At 40.8% G+C, this 22,184-nt stretch overlaps 1 long non-coding RNA gene across 2 annotated transcripts in view, besides 1 other annotated feature; it reads left to right on the forward strand.

Annotated features, from left to right (window-relative positions):
- The window catches only part of LOC121725015 (uncharacterized), a 93,648-nt gene that overhangs the window by 27,953 nt on the left and 43,511 nt on the right, over positions 1 to 22,184 (forward strand). The gene's annotated exons all lie outside the window — the stretch shown is intronic.
- Positions 18,166 to 18,674: an enhancer, noted in NCBI's record as "OCT4 hESC enhancer chr18:5941844-5942352 (GRCh37/hg19 assembly coordinates)". NCBI's record gives its function as "activates a minimal SCP1, AML or CMV promoter by ChIP-STARR-seq in primed H9 embryonic stem cells {active_cell/tissue: H9 hESC(primed)}" and the evidence as "EXISTENCE:reporter gene assay evidence [ECO:0000049][PMID:30033119]".

Below are 22,184 nucleotides of genomic sequence, written 5' to 3' on the forward strand. Positions count from 1 at the left end.
CTCAAAATAAAATAAAAATAAATAAATATATGCCATGTCTGAATGGAGGAGGTCAGTGATTCTTCAAGGAGAGATTTGCATTTGGCTGGACAGCACATTCTAGCCACCAATGAATCAACAGCTTGTACATGGTTTGTAAAGGACAGCACTCGTGGTCCCCAGGTTCGGAATGGACACTTCTGCAGGCTTCATCACACTCACCATCATTACTCAAGATCCTACACTTCTTTCCCTTCAAAGACATCAAAGTAGCTTGAAAAGAAACACTGCCTATCTGGAAAATGAGGCCTACATGTTTGTTGGAGTTTGAAATGAGTCATCATCATCTATCAACATTGAAAATTAGACTATGTTGTTGCATTATTGAACCTGACAGTACAATAAAAGTGAAAAAAAAGAAGCAAGTTATTTGCATCACTGGAGTATGGTTAATGTAGTCAACACATGCTTTTTCAACATTTGCATCAAGTCAATGCTTTCGGGCTTCCGATTCTGATAAGGATGGGTTTTATTTATCAAAAACCTACTATGTGCCAGATACTCTATGTGACACTTGGTATACTTTGCCTTACAAAACCATTGCATCCTTCCTTTAGGATTGACATATTATCTTCACCTTATAGATGAAAAAAACTGAAGCTTGAGGATGCTAAGTGCCTGGCCCTGGTTGGGCCACTAGTTGATGACAAAGCAGGTGGATTTGACTCCATAGTCTGGTCTTTCCTATGATGTTCCCCCTTGATAAGGAAAGGAATGCTGAAACAAAAAATCTGTGGAATGGTCAAGATATTAACCACCAGCCAGGGAGTGATGTGGGAGTGGTATTTATTTTGCTATAGATAAAGAATTTGCTTAATAGGAAACCAAAGGTAGAAAAAAAAGATTGTTTCTCTAGACAGAAAAATTTTAAGAGTTCGTTTAATTGTTTCATAAGTGATTTGGATTGGAGAGTATACAGTGAGATCTCCAAAATTAAAGATGGAAGTGAAATGTCAAACTGACAGGGATAAACCATAGTAAGATCTCATGAGATTTCCTGAGTGGGTAGAGAAGCAGAAAATGAGCTATGGCGTGGGCAACTGCAAGGCAATATAGTCGGACAAAATAATATAAGCTTTGCTGATGACATCTCTTGGTTTCAATACAGGAATAAAAGCTTGACATCGATGTAAAACATTATGAATATATAGCATATTTTTAAAAGATGCTTTAAATTCATTATTTTTTGACCTTCATAAGGAATCAGGGAGAAAAATTACTTGTTACTAATCCCATTTTATAAAAAAGTAAAGACGCAAGTTGCTTCAGTGACTTTCCCATCTGGTAGTTAGTAAAATAACTCTGTGTTAGGCTATATTTCTATAAAGAAATACCGAACAATGGGTAATTTATAAAGAAAAGAGGTTTAATTGGCTAATGGTTCTGCAGACTGTACAGGAAGCATGATGCTGGTATCTGCTTGGCTTCTGGGGAGGCCTCAGGAAACTGACAATCATGTTGGACGGTGAAGAGGGAGCAGGCATGTCACATGGCAAGAGAGAGAGGGAGGGTGCCACACACTTTTAAATGACCAGATCTCACACGAACTCGCTATTTTGAGGACAGCACCAAGGAGATGATATGACATCATTCATGAGGAATCCACCTCCATGATCCAATCAGCTTCTACAGCCCCCACCTCCAACACTGGGGATTACATTTCAACATGAGATTTGGGCAGGAACATCAAGCTCTAACTAGAAACCAGTAATGCAGATTCACAGCTCATGCCATTCCTACTCCTGTAGATTCTTCTATAGGGCCATAAAGCCAGTAATTTCAGGTTATTAAGAGGAGACATTATCATGTCTTTATTATATTGAGGCTTTGGAGTCTGACATCCTGGACTTGAAGCCCATTTTTCCACTTGCCAGAATACTTATATAAAACAAGTTATTTAAATTCTGGAGAGTATTTATTTACTCTCATTTAAATGTTGATATAGGAGAGCACCTGCCTCACAGAAGGTGTTTTAAGTATTAAGTGAAGTAAGATATAAAAAGACTAAGAAGAATGCCTGGCACACAAATGTTGAGCAAATGTTAATTTTCATTGTTGTAAATGGGTAGGATGGTGCAGTAAACTCAGACTTTGAAGTATTCTCTGTGCTCTAAGCATACAGAAATGATTGACAAAATAGAAGATAAAATAGAAGAAGGATGCAGTGGTGTACTTTTGTAGTTCCAGTTACTCTAGAGGCTGAGGTGGGAGGATTTCTTGAACCCAGGAGTTGGAAGCCAGCCTGGGCAACATAGAGAGACCTTGTTTCCAAAATAAATAAATAAAATAAAAGGAAAAGGCAAATAACCAAAGCTGGCTTACAATTCCCTATGAAATTTCCCGAGACCAGAAATGGAATAACAATGTAAAACAGCAGTTAGGTTGGAGATGTGGGTTCACTGCTTTTGGGATTGGAAGCAGGCAGGGGTAGGTGCAGTCTGGTTCCTGCAGAATAAGGGAGACCAAAGCCCTTCACCTGAGGTGGAGTCTAGCACCAACGTCAGTGTTTGAAGCCTGGGTGCTAACCCATTTCTCATGAGGAGAAGCTGTAAAAAACTGCTGCTAACATCTACAGCTTACGTAACCAAGGGGGATTGCAGGCATAGTGGGACAACACGGAGCCTCATGAAATGTCCTGTTGACCAGGAGACAGAAATGAAGATAATTATACTGAAAAGCAGGTCTGGATAATAATATAAGACCTAACTTTGGGCTGTGGCTCAGACAGGTGGATGAGGGCAACTCCTAAACTTCTAGACAGGAAGTTTGGAGCACAGAGGAAGGGAGAAATCAAAACAAAACAACCAAACTAAAACTTCGAAATAATCCTGCAAATCTTTCAAAAGACTTTTTGGTTTGTAAAATTCACAAAGACATTTGATGCTAACAACAAAAAAATTGATAATTAACATGAATTAAGTCCAGAAGTTAAAACAGTCTATCAGTCTGAGAAATATATTAAAATAGGTATATTTAGTATGCCCATAATACTCATAAAAAGAACAATATGTGAAAGAAAAAGAGGCAAAAATAAAAACAAGGTCATCTAGCTATACTAACATTCAGTTTGAAATTCTCGACATAAAAAAATGTTATTAATATTTTTAAATGTAATAAACAATTTAAACAACAGGCTGGACACAAATAAAGAATCAATGAACTGGAGAGTAGTGCTGAAAGAATTACCCTGGAATGAAGCATAGAGAGCCCAGAGTAAAATACGAAAGAGAGGTTCAGATACACGGTGGATAGACTGATAGGCTCCAACAAATGTCAGTTGAAATTTCAGAAGAGAAGCAAGAGGGAATGGAAGAAAACAATATTGAAAGAGGTAATAGCTAAAACCTTTCCAGATTTTAAGAAATGTGTCCACAAATTGAAAGTACTTATTAAATGCTAATAAAGATAAACTAAAATAAATCTATAACTTAACGTCAGAATGAACATGTAGACAATCAGAAATAAAAAATAAAATCCTAGAAACTACCAGGGAGAAAAAAAAGATTTTTTTTTTTGTATGTGACTATTCATGGCAGCTTTATTAATATTAACCCCAACTATCCATCAACTTATGAATGGACAAATAAAATGTGATACATCCATATAACGAATAACTACTCAGCAATTTAAAAAAGGTGCAAGCTACTGATATATATAACAACATGATGAATCCCAAAAGCATTATGCTGAGTAAAATAAGGCAGACACAAATGAGTACATGCTATATGAGTTCATTTATATGGCATTCTAGAACAAGTTATCTACAGTGACAGCAGATCAGTGCTTGTTGAGAGCAGGAGGTGGAGGCAGAGTCAACTGCACACAGCAGAATAAAACTTTCTGCTGTGATGGAAATGATCTATCATTGGTGTGTGAGTTACACAGGGATAAACCTTTAAGACAGATTATTGGCAAAGATATGATACAAAGAGAGATTTCTCATCAATGATAAATGCCAGAAAACTGGATTTAAAATTTCAAAATACTAAGGGATATCATTTTCAATCATGAATTTTATACCCATCTAAATTATCATTCAAGATTGAATGCAAAATAATAGAGACATTTTTATGCATAATAAAAGGAGAGTTAACCAAGCACAGACCTTCACTGTTAAAGGTTGTATCTATTCAAGAAGAAAGGAAATCCAAGCGACAGAAAAAAAAGCAATAAACATAGGAATTAATAAAATATGCTAGTAAACGTAATTAACAATAGATTATAAAGTACAAATAACTACAGCATATGATTTCAGTAAAGCAAAAGAACCCTAACTCTAATTAGTCAAATATGCAAGTTTATAGTTTGGTGTGTATGTTATACATTTAAAGTCATTACGAAAATACATGAATCTGCACATGGGATAAAATCACACAGAAGTGAACACATACACACGAATGCATGTAAAAACGATGAAATCTGCATAAGGTCACTGGATTTTAACAATGTTGATATCCTGGTTGTGATATTATCCTTACAGTTATGAAAGATACTACCACTGAGGAAAATTAAGTGTTTACAGGATCTCTCTGTATTATTTCTTACAAGTCCATGTAGATCTATAATTATCTCCCAATAAAAAGTTAAAAATAATATAAATATAACTCTAGTTTCCATACTTTCCATGGAAGACAAAAGTTGGGGATATAGAAAATCCTATCAATTCAACAGAAGACAGGAATGGGGAAGTGAAGAAGCAGATGAAAAGGATGATAACAGAAAAAACAATGTGAAATGTAGGTATAAATTCATATATAAGACGAATTACAATGATGGATTATCTCTATCCATTAGCTTAAGATAAAGACTATGGGAATGAATTAAAAACAAAATCCAACCATATGCTACTTTAAAAGGACATATAAAACAAAATGATACAGATATGTAGAGAAAAAAGGTATACTAGGTAAATAATACTGACCAAATTTTAAAATATAGCTGATGTAGCAGCATTAATATGAGGCAAATAGAATTTAAGGGGAAAATTATTAACAGCAAAACAGTGATAAAATATATAATCAGATAAGAAGCTGTAGCAATTGTGAACTTTTTGATATAGAAATTAGGGCTGAAAGACAGACATGATTAGCATTTATAAAACTATGTTCATGAGCTTTAGTTTTATTCAATTTAATAAATTGTATTAAACTCCTGGCTAAGCACTCCCTTGAAATTTTAAAAGCTAGACTTAGGAAATTGTTTTATTTATATGTAGAGTTAAAATTTGGCTGACATGGTTCATCTTGGCTGAAAAAATTAGTATAGTCTAAAATTTTTAGTTAGATAAATGAAATACAAAACCACATTTGTTATTAAGAAAGTTTTGTGTGTATATTCTTAACCTTTAGGGTTAGAATTAAAGAGAGTGACCAAGCTCTTCTATAACATCTATTTGTTCCAGTGTCAGGAGCAGCAGGTTGTTGTAGATTATTTTTCTGACACAACATACATTCATTATGTCATCTAATTTACAGTGAAAGTATGTGAACTGCAAAGGTTTATTCAAAATGACCTTGCTGTGGTCTGATTGTTTGTGTTCATGTCAAAATTATTATGTTGAAATTCCAATCCCCAAGGTGATAGTATTAGGAGATGGAGCCTTTGCAAAGTGATTAGGTTATGAGGGCTGAGCCCTTGTGATTAATATCAGTGCCCTAATAAAATGGAGCCCAGAGAGCTGGGTCTTTCCTTCTGCCATGTGAGGTTATAGTGAAAAGACTGCCACCTAGGAAGCAGGCCCTCAACAGACACTGAATCTACTGATGTCCTGATCTTGGACTTCCCAGCCTCCAGAACTGTGAGAAATGTTTCTTTTGTTTATAAGCTACTCAGTATGTGGTATTTTGTTATAGCAGCCCAAAAAGACTAAGACAGACCTTTTGGTATTGTTATTATGAATCCAGCTGTCTTTTCTGAGAGGCTGAATTCTGAAAGCCCAACACGTTCTGGGTTAAAGACAGACATTCTGGAGTCAGGATAACAGAAATACGTGGAAGCAGGGATACAGTACCCCTCACACAGCACAGTTGATGGCCTCTTTTGTCTGACATGGAAAGAGCCTATTGTGCACCTTTTCTTACCAGGCTGACACACTCAAACCTGGGAGCTTTTTTTATAGCTTTTGTTGGGATTATTATTGTGCATAAGTCATACCAATGAGGTACATATAACCTTTCAGAGTAGGTCTTTCAATTAATTAAATTTAAAAGGCCAGCCTTCTCATGATGAATGAGAACCCTTAGTGAGCCCCCATCCATGCCTCTTCTCTCTGATGTAGGTACAGGGATTAGGCTGGGGAGGAGGGAGTGGCAGGGCCTTGGTGAAATAGTACAGATGTCCAGGTATATGCCTGCACACACACACACACACACACACACACACACATGCATGCACACCACTTGCAATACACCTACCAGAAAGAGATTGTTTTAAAAGACAAACTAAATTGACTTGCAACAAGCTCTCAATTGTTTTAAGCTTGTTCCCAGTGTTGTGGGTCACCAGACCTGTACATGTTTGCACTTCGTAGTTAGGTCCTGGGGAAACAAAGCACAACAAAGAACAATGGAGTATCCGATGCAAAAGGATTTGGACCAAGCAAAAGACAAATCTTCAGGTGTTTGACCCAAGTTCAGATACTGGCACATTTCTCATTCTATACCTACCTTAATAAAATCTCACACCTTGCAGGAGCTAGTTGAATGACCCCTGAGGGATTAATGGTCTATAATTCTGGGGTTCTGGCTCTCCTGATACAATCACATCAGCCTGGCTGGCTAATGGAACTTCAGAAGGTTTTGCAAATATAGTACCAAAAGTGGATATATTTTATTAGCTGGTTGACTAGCCTTATATTTGTGTATATTTTTTTCCTTCTCTCATGCTTTACAAATAATTCTTAGTGCTTCGTGTCACTTTTCTAAATCTTGGCCTCATGTTTCTGAAAGAAGCTTGTGTGCACACACACACACATGAGCCCATCTTCCTCTGCAGTTTGCATACTTGCTTTTTGGATGTCCACAAAAGGACAGCCTTAGAATCAGTGGTGTGCTGGAGCTAACTTACACTGGCTTGGAAGAGCTGGCTTGGGGTATCTTTTTCCAAGTCTAATATTCAGTGACGCCATATTGGGAGCTTGAAATCAGCCATGATGAGTATTTTCACCATGGAAATTGGCAAATGCTATAGACTAGGGCTTTGTTTTCCCTCTGAAAAGTCAGTTGTTAAAGAGTTACCAGCATTCCACTGCTCAGAATACTCAATCCACAGTTAATTTCCCCTCAGACAACCTGCCATAGCCTGAAGCAGGGTCGTCTCAGAGACTGCTCTGTTTGCAGTGCACAATTTGACTGGGAGGTAATGACACCAGTTGGATTCAGAGGCTTATAGGCATTTATGTTTCTCTTAGCATAAGACTAAGTATTAAGGTTTTTATTCCAGGTTATTATGAATACAATTATGCCTTGACATTAGAGGATCTTTTTGAAAAGATCCCAACACAAGTGTGTTCTTTTGCAGAAGTTTTTGATTTCCTATTGTTGGCTCCTACTATACCAAATCATAATTCTTACCAAACATGCTTTTCTTGTCAATCAACGAATAAAATATTTAATGTGTATTTTTCACATGTAAGGCATGGTGATAGGCAATATGTTAGATACAGAGAATAATTGTCTAGCCTCAAATTATTATCTTCAATAAGTTTGTAATTTAGAGAGAGATGCAAAACATGCACACATGAAAAGTTACATAAGAAAATGTATAACAGTGTAGAATTTGATTGTATCCAGGCTGTCATGTTTTTCCCTTAACTTCAGTCTCAGCACATCATCGCATCAAAATACACACACACACACACACACACAGAACCTATTGAAGATTCTGATTAAAGGTTTCTGAAGGGTGAATACCAGGAGACAAGGAAGGAAGTTACATCTCACATTATGCAGCCAAACTTTCTAAAAATCCTCTTTGAATATTTTTCTCTTCCCCCAAATTATTTCTCCCATAGCATGCTTCTTGTCTCTTCTCTTTCCTTTCCTTCTGTCCCTTTTTTCTTTATCCTTCCCTCTCATGCCTCATGTGAGCTCTGTGTTCCCATTTCTTCAGATGTTCTTGAGAGTTTGGCAAAACAAGGATCTCATGGGAGACCCACCCTCATTAGAAGGTAAAGAAGAAAAACTTGGTAAATTCCTATGATTCCATGTGCTTCTGCCACCAGTAAAGGATGAAAATTCAAGATGTGTCATAAGAAATATTCTAAATTAGAGGTAAAGAGTTGTGAGTTGTAAAATCAGAGAGGGGTAAACATGAAAAGATCATTTTGGGGAGTGGAAAAGCTTTCAGAAGGAGGAAGTGGTAGATGAGTAGACGTTCTTAAAATATAGAGAAAGGGAGTGGAGTAGCCAGTTTAGTGCTTCCTCACTTATGGGGTTCCCTGGAAAGTCATGGAGATGGGCTCACAGCCACCTAGTGAGGAGGGTAGTCAATGTGTCCAGGGAATGCAGATAGTCATCTCTTGCTTTTCATCTTATCATGTCCTTCGACATCCTCAAAATAACCACTAGTTCACAGACTCTTTTCTCCTCTCTCCAAAGAGGAGGAGGAGTCCATGTGTTAGGCAGGCTAAGTGAAGAGCAGTTAGATTTTTAGGACATCTCCAAGATCATGCTGCAAGTTAGCATGGACGTAGGTCAAGGTCATTCCTAAGATATGTAGATTTTACCCAGGACTCTGACTGTTAATGTATTTAATGGGACAGTTTTTTCCAAGTAATTTTGAGATTACAATTTATACCAAAAGAGATAAACCTGGGTTTCCCTTGCTACACACAGTTATGCACATGAAACCCAATAACCAACTGGAGAATGGTTCTGTCATGCTGTTCAGGTCAGAAAACATCAGCCACCACCCTCATAGCATTTTTTTGCCTGTATTTTTGTATCAATCAACTAAATAAATTTTTAGGACAGTTTTCCCCTCTTCTTGCCAATGCAGACTCAAATGACTTTGATGTAAAAAGACAGTTTGGCTGTAAAATCTATTGTCAGCAACTTTGCAAAGTTCCTGGATTAAGAATTTTCAGCCTCCTCCTCCTGTCTGGTTGATAAGTTCAGAAATTTCACTCAATCATTATAAATTATTATCAAAACGCAAAGTTACTGCAGGAATTTGCACACTTTCCCATGTCCTATTGATGGAGCTGTCAGCATGGGGCATGGGGAGCCCAGAGTATTACATAATCGCTGTGTGAAGTCATTAAACTAACAGCAACCTTATTTTCTTCACTTTCATGTCTGAACATCTACATTAATCTCAATCTCTCCATTCCCAATCAACTAATAAGTACTCCCACTCTTCTGACAGTATCGAAGGCACTTGAGTCATTCAACAGAATTTCATCAGGGCTTCAGGGATATTTGGCTCATCTGGATTCTGAACAACTTTTCCATCATCAGCAGCAGCTCCTTCTGGCCATGTGACCTTGACTAAGTTATTTAACATGTTTCTGAACCTCAGTATTTTCATCTTCAAGTTAAGTTAATTATATATTCCATCTCTTCCCAGGCTGTTATGAACATCCAGATTAGCTAATATGTAAGAAATTACTTGGCAACTCGAAAGTTCTGTACAGTATTGTAGTGACTTATATCCTCTTGTCTGATGAGAAAAGCAAGATTGCTATTGAGTCTAATGTTTCACACTCTGGTCCCGAGTGCTGGCATTGAAGGGTTTTTTTGTTTGTTTGTTAGTGTGTTTGTTTGTTTTGAGACGGAGTCTTGCTCTGTCACCCAGGCTGGAGCACAGTAGCGTGATCTTGGCTCACTGCAACCTCTGCCTCCTGGGTTCAAGCAATTTTCCTGCCTCAGCCAACCGAGCAGCTGGGATTACAGGTACCCACTACCACACCTGGCTAATTTTTGTATTTTTAGTAAAGACGGGGTTTCTCCAGGTTGACCAGGCTGGTCTCAAACTCCAGATCTCAGGTGATCCACCCACCTCAGCCTTTCAAAGTGTTGGGATTACAGGTGTGAGCCACCGCGCCCAGTCTGAAGTTTAATGCTCTGACTATTCTGTAGCATTTCTAGGATGTTCAATACACAAAAGTGGTAGTGGTTTTCTTTAGAACGTTATTTATTTCATGCAGATATCTAACATGTTGCCCCCAAATCCAAGTAACATTGTAGACATGGCATATTATTATGCTTTTTTGACATATACATTATGGAGGAAAATAGGGGTAAATCATTTCCAGTAGTCACTAGTACATTTCCAACAAATAATAAGTCATTCTATTGAAGCCAAGATTCACGTGAACCACACATAATCCAACGTAAGAGAGATTGCCCAGAAAAAAGAAGCACACCATGAGAACAAACAAACAAATTAAAAAATAACTCAGGTGGCCGGCAGCCACTCTTCCTGTTTCTCGTTTTTGCAACCATCAGTAAGTTCTTCCCAATTCTGATCTGGGTGCCTCTTTCTTTTCCTCTTAATTCTCCTGAGTCTGCATCATGCAAGCCTAAGAACAAAGCTAGTGAAGCAGATTGTTCCCGAGTGCAGGTAGAGAGGGGAACCTGACTGGACAGGGAGGGATGCCAGGGATACTCGTACGTTCAGAGTTTTTGACCCATCACAGGTATCAAGATGTGGTGAGAATTCTCAATTGAATCGCTTCAGGATTTAGCTGTGTCTGGGTGACTGGAATCCTGGAGCAGGGTAGGACTGCTCAGGACTTATTTGTATGAGGAACCAAGGAAAACCTTGGAAAAGAAGGCAGACAGAAAGAAAGGGTCCTTGAGCAGGATACATTTCATTGAGGTCATGGCGGGTATCTTACCTCCATCCATCTAGAGGTATTTCAGAGGGATGGAGGTATCTGAAGAGGGTATTTTAGAGGGTATTTTAGAGGGGTGGAGGTATCTGAAGAGTGTAAATATCCACCTCTGCATTGTCCCTGAGCCTGGGTCACATGGACTCACATCAGAAACGTGGGGAGAGCAGCCTATCATAGAACAACAGATGGAAATAAAAGAGCTGAGGCATTGCAAAAGGAGGGAATGATCAGGGCTGGTGCCAGCAGCTCCTGCTGCAACAGGCTTTGCATCTTCAGCACGGGCAGATGTCAGTGTGCTCAGGGCAGGCCCTGGACAGTACCAGCTGTGGTTGGCAGTCCGCAACTTTGGCAAGCACTAGAAGTATAACTGATGGTTTTAGTGTCAGCAATGATGGAGGCTGGAGCCAGAGAGGAGCCAAATGGCCAGTGCTCTAGAACAGAACTTAACAGAACAGAATAGCCAAGAGAACTCATTGGGAATATCCAGAAGAGCTCTAGAGGGTAGGAGAATGGTTGAGACCCCTGAGTAATTCGCTGATCTTGCTTTTCAGCCTTCCCATTTATATCATTTTTATGAGTATCTCTGTAGAATGTAAACTCAGAATGAGTGGCCCAAATGCTCCATTTTTCTCTCAGACCCACCCTGGGTAAATGCCTTGAAGTTAATCAGCATGTTAAAGGTTTGGTTCTTAAAAGAATTAGATACTTTTTTAAAGGAAAACATAGGTTAGAGGCCATGTTAGACCATCACATAATATATAGCAGATAGGCCGGGTGAGGTGTCTCACGCCTGTAATCCTGGCACTTTGGAAGGCTGAGGTGGGCAGATCACGAGGTTAGGAGTTCAAGACCAGCCTGGCCAACATGGTGAAACCCCGTCTCTACTAAAAGTACAAAAATTAGCCAGGTGTGGTGGCGCACACCTGTAATCCCAGCTACTCGGGAGGCTGAGGCAGGAGAATTGCTTGAACTCGGGAGGCAGAGGTTGCAGTGAGCTGAGATCATGATACTGCACTCCGGCCTGGGTGAGAGAGCAAGACTCCATCTCTAAAAATATATATATATATATATATGTATGTATATATATATATGTATATATATGTGTGTGTGTATATACATATATATACACACACATATATATATAGCAGATACAACCCACAGACATACCATCTGCTTTAAGCTTCATTCTTTCTTGCTATGTGTGCCCTTAGTTCTCTCATTTATGAAATAAAGGACTGATACTGATGATGCAGAACATACCTTTCAGCTGTAAGCATCCACCTTCCCCGAGTCAGCAGCACAGCTAGCTGCTTAGTAGGTTCAAGGCTAGTGGTTGTCTCCATTATTAAACAAAGGAAAGATAAAAATCTGACAAAAAGGTGCATTTGGTTCAGGTGCAATTCAAGAACTTGGGGAACATCAGCATGCATGTTGGATGAGGCTGACTTAAAAGGTGGAGAAGAGTTCTGGGCTGAAGGACAGGGGTCCCTAAGTGTGGATGTACAGAGGGAAGGATGATTGGTATTCACAGTGGCATCTGAACTTAATAAGGAAGCAGAAGAAGCATGCAGCCGGATTGTGATGTGATGGGCACATCCTTCTAGAACCTCACAGCTTGTCCCCAGCACAGTCACTCTCAAAGAGGGACCCAAAGCCCTGCCCATTGAGTCTGATCTTTAGATGCTGTGAAGTCCAAGGACACGTGCCTGTGTGTGCTCATGAGCATGCACACATGCGTAATTGCAATTAGAAAAGTATTGCTTATCAAAGTTCAATTAAGAAAGTTCGGGAAATACAGAAAAGTGCATAGAAAAAAAAAAAGAAAATGATCCACGATCGCATTACTTACAAGTAAAACCTATTCATATTTTGGCTTGTTCCTTTCCTGTCTTTTCCTATACAGATGTAAAATATTACTAAATTGTCGTATACAACTGTGCATCCTAATATTTTCCCTATTTTGCGACAGATAATATTATACTGGTTACTTACAGCATTTTTCTACATAGATGCATCTCATTCACTTGGATGTTCTTTTTCTGTTTTACATTTATGTTATTACCAGTATGTTTCTATTATAAATGACTTTTAAACATATTTGTACAGAAAACTTTGGTCCATATTTCTAATGACTTTCTTGGACAGATTCTTAGGGCGTGTACATTTTAGAAGTTCATAGTGTATTCCTTTCTTTATCTTAGTGAATGTGGGTTGATGGTAATGCCCAGACTATACAGGGTCCTGGGCCCTGTAGCTAGAGAGGAAAGAGGCAGGACTGCTTGACCTCTGTAGCTCATAGGTCTGCAGGAAACAGAGAAAGTTTAGAAGCACTTACAATAGGGTGTTTCATTTGGGTGCGAGATGTGTGAAGCCCCTGGTGTTGTCAGACAGCACTAGCAGAAGAACTAGAATGCCTGCCCCTGAAACGGGGGGCTCTGATGCTGCTGAAGAAAGGACATCCAGGCTGAGGCCTGAGGAGAGTATGCAGGAGCCGAGGGGAGCAGGAGGAGACAGGGTGCCCGGGCAGTCTGTCCAAAGGGGATGTACAAGGATTTTTGAGAGAAAGTATAGGGGAATTCAAGTTACTGAAAGGAGCACAATAATACTGAATAGTAAGGTGTTAGAGAGAGGAGTTTGCAGAGACAAACTAGGCCATATTATTAGTATCATCTAAGGCAGGGGTCCCCAACCCCCGAGACACAGATCAGTACCAGTTTGTGGCCTATTAGGAACAGGGCCCACAGCAGGAGGTGAGCAGCAGATGAGCGAGCATTGCCGCCTGACCTCTGCCTCCTGTCAGATCAGCAGTGGCATTAGACTCTCACAGATGCGCAAACACTATTGTGAACTGTGCACACAGGGGATCTAGGGCGCATGCTCCTTATGAGAATGTAATGCCTGATGATCTGAGGTGGAATAGTTTCATCCCGAAACTATCTCCCCGCAACCCCTGGTCTGTAGCAAAATTGTCTTCCATGAAACTGGTCCCTTGTGCCAAAATGGTTGGTGACCACTGATCTAAGGCATTTGAGAAACTGGGGGGCAATAAGGAGCCATTGAAATGTTCTCAGTAGGAGTGGGAAGTGATTAACCCTGGGTATTAGATAAAGGTCACTTTGGTGCATATCCAAGAAGGGAGAAGGCTGGAGGCAGGGAGGCTATGTGGGAGGTGGTGAAAGTAATCTAGGTGAGAAACACTGTCATTTCCATAGGAAAATGGCAGCCAGAGTGGAGAGGGGCTGTTCCCAGGCTATTTAGGAAGCAAAATCGATAGGATTCAGTCACATCTGATTTGGGGGAAGTGACTAAGTGAGTTGGAGGGCTCTTGAGCTTGTCCTATGTGTATGACTGGGTGGGTGGTGGCCCCAGGCAGGCAGAGAGGGCACACAGGCACAGGAGATGGCTGGAGGTGTGCAGAGAGCAGGTGCTTGGTGAGTTGAGTTTGTTTCACTTTGAATCTACCACATTTGAAGGGGAAATTCAAGGGGAGGCAGTGAGCTCTTATAGCTACAGGTCTGGAGCTAGGGGGCAGGGGGAACTACAGGATGAAGACAATATGTTGGGAGTCATTGATCTGAACTGAGATGGAGCGAGGAGCAGGCCAGCAACTGTGACCCGGCACCTAACCTAGAAAGGGGGCTAAAAAGCACCAATAAGAGACAATTATGTTCTCAAGACCTTCCCTCAGGGAGAAATGTTCTGGTCTGTCATTTGGGGTGAGGCGGTGAGACCATCAAGGACAGAGAATCAAAAGTCTTCCTCTGGGGAGGGTGTCTGATCAGCTCTAGGGGCATTGGCTTTTCTGGGAAGCTTTGCAAGCTTTGGTCTTGAATACAGGTTGAGCAATTAGTTACAGATTATTTTGTTGGAAGGGTCGCCAAAGGGACAGCCCTCCTGCAGCACCTGCCTCAGATACATCCCACCATACAGGCCACTGAGATGGCCCTATGAGTTGACACAGAGCCAGGGAGGCCAGCAGACACGGACAAAGGCCGGGAAGCTTACAAAGGAGCAGTCAGCCCAGGAGGAGGGCTGCAGTGAGGCCACAGAAGTCCATGGTGTGAAGGTATAAAAGTACAGAGTTGGATATCAGTGACACTGTGGTTGACAAATCACTTCAAATGATAGTGGAAAAGTCTCCATTGGATTTAAGAAGGTGCTCAGTGGTCATTTTTGGTAGCACAGATGCTAGGAAAGGTGGAGGAAGGCGCCATCATGCTAGGTGTTGACTTGTGTTATTGGGGTCAGGAAAGAAAGACAAAGAGTTCAACAAGTCTTTCAAGAAGTGTGTCCTTCTAAGGGCCAGAGGATGGAGTGTGAGTGTGTCTGCCTCCCTGTCCACTGGCCTCATAGCCTTTGCATCATTTGACAAATGTTTCAGCATCAAAATACGGTGTTTTAGCCAAGCACGGTGGCTCACTCCTGGAATCCCAGCACTTTGGGAGGCCGAGGCGGGCTGATTGCCTGAGGTCAGGAGTTCGAGACCAGCCTGGCTAACATGGTGAAACCATGTATTTTGTATTTTGTATTTACTAAAATACAAAAATTAGCCCGGCATGGTGGTGCATGCCTGTAGTCCCAGCTACTCAGGAAACTGAGACAGAAGAATCACTTGAACCTGGGAGACAGAGGTTGCAGTGAGCCGAGGTCGCGCCACTGCACTCTAGCCTTGGTAACAGAGCAAGACTCTGTCTCAAAAAAAAAAAAATATATATATATATATATAATACATATATATTTATATATATTTATACATATATATGGTGTTTTATTATTTGAACCTTTGACATTTATTTGATTACTAGTAATAGTAAATATTTCCTCTTATGGCTATGTGTAATTTTGCTTACGTTATTTATGTCCATTGCCTGATAGTCTGTTAGATTAACCATGATGTTATTAATTTTGAAGACATATTTCTATATCATAACCTCTTTGCAGTTATATTTAAGGCAAACACATTTTCACAGTATTAATTTTATTACTGCTTGTAACATATAGAATTATTTCCTAACTTTATGTTATAAAATCTCTCATTGGATTATAGAGTCTTAATAGAAAAGTGAGCAGCAACAGTTTGAGCCCCTTGGGGAAGAGGAGACTCCCTGGGGGGACAGCACGGCCTCTGCTTGCATCCTAGGTTTTACTGAAGCACTGTTTGCAGAAAGCCTAGCGGGCTCAGAAAACCAGCCATGCCATGGTGGGAAGAAAGCCTTGCTGAGATCCTGTGGCTGAAAACCATCATGGGCTTTTGCTTTCAGACTGCCCATTGCCAACCGATGCAGGCCCAGAGAAGCAAGGAGGAGTGCTGTTCTGGGAAGGCGGTGGGCACATAGATGGAGCTAGACTTGCGACTTCAGGCCCTCAGCAGCCACATGATCTTGCAGCTGTGGGCCATGCACCTGCTTCTTGGGCCCATGATTAACCAGATGTTCAGCTCCTTAAAGACAGACTTCGGGGCCCTTGGCTGGCAGGGGATGCAATCTGCAGATGAGAAGCTCTGAGAAGCAGTTCTCAAAGCCAGGATCCAGAGGCTCAGCCATGTGAGTTTCCTGTGAGAGGGAAAAGGCAGGAGCATAGAGGCCACTGAAGTTGTTCTCAAAAGCCCCAAGATACCTTTGGTCTCAGTGGAGGCATCCAGGACACAGCTGTCTTCACTTCTTCACTCAGTCATTTAGAAATTGTTCAGTGAGCACCCACCCTGTATAATTCACTGCTGCTGCAGCTGAGCTCAACATGGTGTCATCTAGGGGAGGAGCTTGAAGAGGTTGTGTTAAGGAAGAACCACGAGAGGAGTGCCCAGTTGGATGTGACCCCGGATGTGTAGGCATCCAGGAGGCTGAAAGAAGGCTGACCCAGGGCCTGATCACTTGACAATGGACATGCTACCTCACAGAGCATAACACCACAACTAACACATCCTGAGCCCTCAATCAATGTTGTGCAATAAAGGAATAAACCTGGATGTCTTTCCTGTAACCAAACATTGGACTATTCATCAACTGTGCACTTTTTGTTCCCCAACGAGCACAAGGGTTTGGACTGCACCATCCCCACTCTTTCTTGACTCTCTCTGTACACCATAAATGCATGGTTCAGGGTGATTTTGCTGGGCAAGGGTGATGGTTTGACTATTTGTGTCCCTCCAAAATTCATGTTGACACTTAATGCCCATTGTGGTGGTATTAAGAGGTAGAGACTTTCGGGAAGTGAGTAAGTCACGAGGCCTCTTTATAAAAGAAGCTTCAGGCCAGGTGCAGTGGCTTATGCATGTAATCCCAGTACTTTGACAGGCTGAGATGAGAGGATCATTGAGCCTAGGATTTCAAAACTAGCCTGGGCAACATAATGAGACCCTATCTCTATTAAAAGTAAAACATTAGCTGGGCATGGTGCGGTGCACCTGTAGTCTCAGCTACTTTGGAAGCTGAGGCAGGAGGATCACTTGAGCCCAGGAGGTTGAGGCTGCAGTGAGCTATGATTGCACCACCGCACTTCGGCCTAGGCAACAGCGTGAGACCTTGTCACACACACACACACACACACACACACACACAATAGTTTCAGACAATAGCCTGGCCTGGCCTTCCCATCTCTTCTGCTGTGAAAACACAACATGCATCCCTTTTTGCCTCTTCAGCACATGAGGATATAGCAAAAAGGCCCAGGCCCTCAACAGGCACTGAATCTGCTGGTACCTTGATCTTGGACTTCAGAGCCTCCAGAACCATAAGAAATAAATTTCTATTCTTTATAAATTACTGAATCTGTGGCATTTTGTTACAGCAGCACAAACAGACTAGGACAGGGAGGTTGGGAGTGCACCGTGTGATGTGTCTTTGCAAAGTCTACCCTGTACCAAGCTGACTGGCCCTATGGGATTTGTTAGCAACTAGCTGGGCCAGATCATTAGAAAACAATTTGAAATGCAGAATGAGGAATGGTGGCAAATTTGGCTATTTTTCTCAGGGTTTTGTTCAGCACCATTTGCTGCCATGCTACCAGCATAGTGGTTTGTGTGGCCTGTACATCCAGAATACCTGGGTTCAAATCCTGCTCCCTGCCTGTGTGATCTTGAGCAGGTGATATGAGCTGCCTGTGCCAAGTTCCGCATCTGTAAAGTGAGGGTGGTAAAAGGACCTACCTCGTAGAGTTGCTATGAGAATGAAGTAAGTTGGCGGGTGAAAAGGTGGTGAATATTCGTATTATTGATGTTATTATCACTGTAAGCAGCAGTGGCAGCAGCTGCCAAGCCTCACATTCCAACCTGAGAATTTCCAAGAGAAGGCAGATGATCTTGTAAAACTCCAGGAAGTCACATCTCTGATTTCCAGCCCTCCTGTCTACAGAGCCAAACCTTTCCGCAGAACTCTCCCTGCTACCATAAAATGCTGCCTCCACAGAGGGAACCCTCCCCAGGCACAAGGCAGATGGTTGCTCCGTTCCATGTGGCCCCTCACTGCAGTGCAGTGATGATGTTTGGGCTGAGCAAAAGACTTCAGTGCTCAGAGGAGAAGGAGCAGGAGGCTTTGCCAGCTTCCATTTGCATGAGAAAAGAACTGAGAGGAGAGGGGAGAAGGGGGAAGATGCTTGCTTCCTCCTTCCATCTTGGCATTCACAGAGCAGGCTGCATTTGAACACTGCCGTGCTATGTACATTGGATCCATGCAATGTTACATAAGTATTTCATAAGGGACAAGGTGACTTTGTGTTTTTTTCACCTGTTCTTCTCCTCTGATCCCAGAAGCTGGGAAGTAGGCTGGATGCAGAGAAAAGAGCATTGTTCTCAAGTCTGCTTCACTGCTTAAAGACTAAGAAGGAAAAAAAATAGAAAGGAAAACAAGAATCATTGTCTCTTTTGTTTTCTCTTTAAAATATAAAAGGAACTCTGAAACCAAAGTTCGGATGACATCGTATGACATTTTCCTTTCCACATGGAAAAATTTTGAATAAAAGATCTGTTTTCTGGGTTGACACTTCTGGGCTCTTTCAATCTCCAGTAGCAGCAAACTGCTGTCATTTCTGGAAATAAGGATGGCAAGACTCAGGGGGTTAATCTGCCTGATTTTGCTCTCCAAGGGTGACAGCGTAAAGCTCTTTGGCTCTGCATCCACAGTAATAGCTGAGGGCAGCGCTGCCCAACAGAACTTTCTGTGGTGATGGAAGCCTTCTCTAATCTGTGCTGCACATCTGGCAGCCACGAGCCACACGTGGCTATTGAGCGCTGGAAGTGGGGCTGCTGTGACTGTGGAACTGAGTTAACTTCACTGTTAATTTAAATTTAAATGGCCACGTGTGGTCTGTGGCTACAGTATTGGCAGGTGCATGAGAGCAATAGCAAAACAAACTGTAAGTAGCATCCACAGATGTTGACTGAATGCATCACACAGATAAGATGGAAAAGGAAGAGCCTAAAAGTTCTGAAGAGTGATGTTCCCCTTCCACAGGAGCAGTTTATGTGTCAGTGGCAATGATGTTTTATGAATATTTGGGATGACCATTTTCTGTTTCATCTTTCAGCTGTGGGAGTAGCAGTCTACTTTATTTCTTTTCAATTTTTTTTTAGAGATGGAGTCTTGCTATGTTGCCCAGGGTGATCTTGAACTCCTGGCCTCACATGATCCTCCTGCCTCAACCTCCCAAAGTGTTGGGATTACAGGCATGAACCACCATGCCTAGCTCAGTCTACTTTTTTTAAAAGAGGAATGAGATCAAGATCACATTTCAAAAAATATGTTGTCTCCTAAAGTAAGTAATATTTCTACCTGGAAGCTCTTCCTTCAAGTCTAAAGTCAAAGGGAAAGACAATAATTTCTTCTAGGCTTTTGAGGTGATGATCATGGGGTTTGCTTAGATGTCAGATCCACGAGTCACCCTAAAGCCTGAAGAGACAGAGTAGATGGGAGCTGGTGTTGGGTGAACACTGGACTGGTCCCAGGGCTGCGGTTCTTGATCAGTGTAATGCAGGAAGGAGTCGCCAATGTGGCCACGCTCCTGGTAGGGGTTCTTTGTAGGTACTAGAGGCTCAGTAGCTGTCCTGAGTCAAAAGACCAAAGAAAAAGGGAAGCCTCAAGGAGAGATGAGAGGACAGCAGATGAAAATGAGCCTGCAGGAAACCAAGCTCTGAGGAGAAATGGGCAGGCAGCCAAGAGCAGGGCAGAAACTGCAGCAGTAGCAGCGGCAGCAATGAAGTCTCCAAGTTATGAGTGGCAGGCTCTGAGAACAATGATGGAGCAGGAAGTTAATGCAGAGGGCAGGCAGAGAGCCCCTGAGACGATAAGCAAGATGAGTGGAGAAAACCGACAGGACTTAGACCTGGGCATGGGCAGCAGAGGACCTTATCCCAGCAGCAGAGGGACTGGCAGTTAATGACGATGCTCGAACATCTGCTATACGTTGGGAATTTTGCACGCATTTAATATTTTGCATGCAGATAATATTATTCCCATTTTATGAATGAATGAGCCCAGACTTAAAGTGCTGGAGGGATTTAATATTCTCCTGGATCTATCTGCCTTGCTGGCTACTCCTTCAGGCTTCCTTTTGAGTTCATTCTTCTCTTACCACGTCTGTAAATGTTAGAATTTTTTAAGGAATGTTACACAGTTGAGTCGTCTTCTCTTCTCACCCCCTACTTACTCAGCACAGTATAAACCACTCTCTGGGAACTCCAGAATTTTGTCTCTATCTGGAATCTCCCCTAGGAATGGCAAAATTAACCTAAAGAATGTACAAGGAAGGAAAAAATAGACATAAACCTAGGTATTTTTATTTTGTTAATTAGAAAAGTAGAAAGAACAGATAATGATTCCAAGAGTTGCTTTTCATTTAACCAATAAAATAACAAACCCTTAACTGACCCAATAAAGAAAATGGGAGCAGTCACAAAATTAGGAATGAGAAAATATTTCAAGAGACCACTCTGCTCAATGCTATGTTGAAACTTTTGAAAACCTAAATACCAATTAAATTTTTCCAGTAAAATATTTATGACCAAGGTTTACTCTACAAGAGAGTCTACTACTAGAGTTGCCAGAATTAGTATACAGAAATTTGAATTTTAGATAAATAATTTTTTAGTATGTCTTACGCAACAGTTAGGACATACTTTTACTAAAAAAAAAAAAAAGTCATTGGTTGTTATTCTGAAATTCAAATTTAATTGGAAATCCTGCATTTTAACTGGCCGATCTATTAAAACAGATAAATTATTGTGGAGAAACAATAGGAACTTGTCAAAAGCTTTAAAAACATCAAGATCAGAAGTTTCAGGTAAAGCGTATGAATTAAATTCAAGCAATATTTTCAACTCTATTTAAATGATTCCAAAGCATAAAAAAACAGCTTCTAAGACATTTTTATAAAGCTACAAAGACTGAAGTCAAACCTGACAAGGAGAGTTAAAAAATGTGGGCAAAACAGTGGTGAATATTCATGATAAAATCTTACTGTGATATTCACAAACATGGGGGAATGATATTTTCTTTAAAATCGACAGACTTTTTAGAGAAAAAAGGCAGTTGAAGAAATTATCAACAGTGATTTTACCAAGTTCTTTGTATTTTTTCTCAGTCTTAACATGCCTATATATATTATGTACATAATTCTTAGCTGTAAGTCATTTTTATAATAGATGCTATTTTCTGCAAGCCTCTCAAATTAAAACCCATTGTTCTGAAAGTACTAATCAATGCAATTACATAAGGGAAAAAATGAGACATAAATACTTCAACCACGGAGGCAAAATTATTACTGTTTTCAAACAATGTAGTTATTTACCTAGAAACTGCAAAAGAATCAATTGGAGGAATTCTGTTACCAGCAGAAGATAGTTCAGTTAGGTGGATTGGTTTCACAATGAATATCCACATTCAGTGGCATTTCAGTAAACAAATAGTATTCAGCTATAAAATATAATGGAGCAAATTATCTCATTTATAATAGCATAAAAAAGATAATGTGCCTAGACATAAATTTAATTAAAAATATAGGCTAGGTATGTTGGCTCATGCCCATAATCTCAAGACTTTGGAGGGCTGGAGGATCCCTTGAACCCAAGAGTTTGAGACCGTGAGACCCCAACTCTACAAAAAAATAAAATTAGCTCGGCATGGTGTGCATGCCTGTCATCTCAGCTATTGTGGAGTCTGAGGCAGGAGGATTGTTTGAGCCCAGGAGTTTGAGGCTGTAGAGATCTGATTGTGCCACTGCACTCCAGCCTGGGTGACAGAGTGAGACCCTATCTCTAAAAATAAATGGGGGGCTATTAAATAAAACAACAACGTGTAACACTTCTTGAAGGACAAAA

The sequence above is a fragment of the Homo sapiens genome, chromosome 18 (genome assembly GCF_000001405.40).
Source record: "Homo sapiens chromosome 18, GRCh38.p14 Primary Assembly".
Classification (NCBI taxonomy): Eukaryota; Metazoa; Chordata; class Mammalia; order Primates; family Hominidae; genus Homo; species Homo sapiens.